At 43.8% G+C, this 1,727-nt stretch overlaps 1 annotated feature.

Annotated features, from left to right (window-relative positions):
• Positions 322 to 531: an enhancer, noted in NCBI's record as "active region_28788". NCBI's record gives its function as "activates an Ori minimal core promoter by ATAC-STARR-seq in GM12878 lymphoblastoid cells {active_cell/tissue: GM12878}" and the evidence as "EXISTENCE:reporter gene assay evidence [ECO:0000049][PMID:35858748]".

Genomic DNA, 1,727 nt, shown 5'->3' on the forward strand with positions numbered 1-1,727 from the left:
TCTTTTTTGTGTTAAAAAGGAAAACATGAATAGTAACATGCTAAGATATAAAATGGACGATGTTACATATAAATTGATTTACTTATGTTCCTTAACTTGAAGATTTAGTGCTTGGTAATCTTAATTTGGGAGGGGTTTATTGTGAGGTTTTTCATTTTAGATAAGCTTCCAGTTCAAGATGGAAGAGGAAACACATGTGTTTGTCTCAATACCTGTGGCCTCAGTAGACTACAGATTGAAAACATATGTGGAATATGGAAAGCAGATTGGGGTCAGGCTGACAGATAACAGAGCACAGGAAACAAGAGAACGAGGCAGTAGAAGCCATTCTTCATGGCTGAACCCTTGATAGGCTTCTGGCTAGGCAGAGGCAGGCATAGAGAGTAGAAAGGGAAACAGAAAGAGAAATCTCCTTCAGCCACTAGAATGCCTGCTCTGCTCAGCCAGCCTCTCTGTTCCAGGCCCCTGACTATACAGAATGATGGGTGGCACCACCATTTAACCAAAGTAGAAGCTATTCTCTAAAATAGTAAATAATTTATTTGGGTAGGATTATAGTTACCCTTGGTGATCCAGGTACTTCAGAGAACTTCATAGGCTTTAGTTTAGAGAGCAAAAGTGATGAGCAAATAGCCAAACACCAAAATGAGGATTCAGGAGAAAGGCCTATTGAAGGAAAAATCTATAGAAAAAGCTCACAGCTGTGCCTGAGTTTCACCAATCCATTCCTTCACGAAGAGAGACTCAAGCATTAGCAGATAGCCAAGACAAATCACGACACCAGTGAGAGGAATCAAATGAGCACATTACAAAAATAATAATGACCCCTGAGGAAAAAGCAATTTTTCACAGAACTGAGACGATCTAAGGAAAAAATTCTGATTTGTATTCTCAGGGAAGCTTGATAGGATATTCAGATATTGCATCCAAAACTATAAAAACAGGTTGCTATAGAAAAGGAGAAAAAAAAGTTTTCTTTTAAAGTTTAAGTAGTTTAGCTAAAAGAGAAAAGTCAATATGAGAATATATGGTTGTCAGCTGGGTGGCCATGGAAATGCTTGAGTCACACCTTCCCCAACTACAGGCAGTGCAGCTTGCAGCTCTAGGAGAAGCTCCTTCCCTGTGCTTAAGGAGGGGAGAGAGAAGAGTAAAGAGAAGTTTGTCTTGCAACTTGGATACCAACTCAGCCACAGTAGGATAGGGCACTTGGCAGAGTCCTTGAGGCCCCCAATTCAGACCCTAACTCCTGACATTTCTGGACACACCTTGGGCCAGAAGGGAATCGGTTTCCTTGAAGGGAAGGACCCATTCTTGGCAGGATTCATCACCTGCTGACTAAAGAGCCCTTGGTCCCCAAATAATCAGCAGTGGCAGCCAGGCAGTACTCGCTATGAGCCTTGGATGAGACTCAGAGCCCTGCTGGCTTCAGGTGTGACCAAGCACATTCTCAGCTGAGATAGCTACGGGGAGACCCCTTCTACTTGGGGAAAAAGTAAAGGTGACTTTGTCTTGCACCTTGGGTACCAGCTGGACCACAGTGGGGTACAATACCTCATGGGCTCCTTGTGTCCCTGATTCTAGACCTTGGCTCTTGGATGGCATTTCAGGACCTACCCTGGGCCAGAGGGGAACCTAATGCTCTAAAAGGAGAGACTCAGGCCTGGCGGCAATCACACAAGCTGACTGACTAGCCTTTGGTCCTTGAGTGAATATGACAGTAGCAAGGC

Source organism: Homo sapiens, chromosome 9 (genome assembly GCF_000001405.40).
Source record: "Homo sapiens chromosome 9, GRCh38.p14 Primary Assembly".
In the NCBI taxonomy this organism is placed as follows: domain Eukaryota; kingdom Metazoa; phylum Chordata; class Mammalia; order Primates; family Hominidae; genus Homo; species Homo sapiens.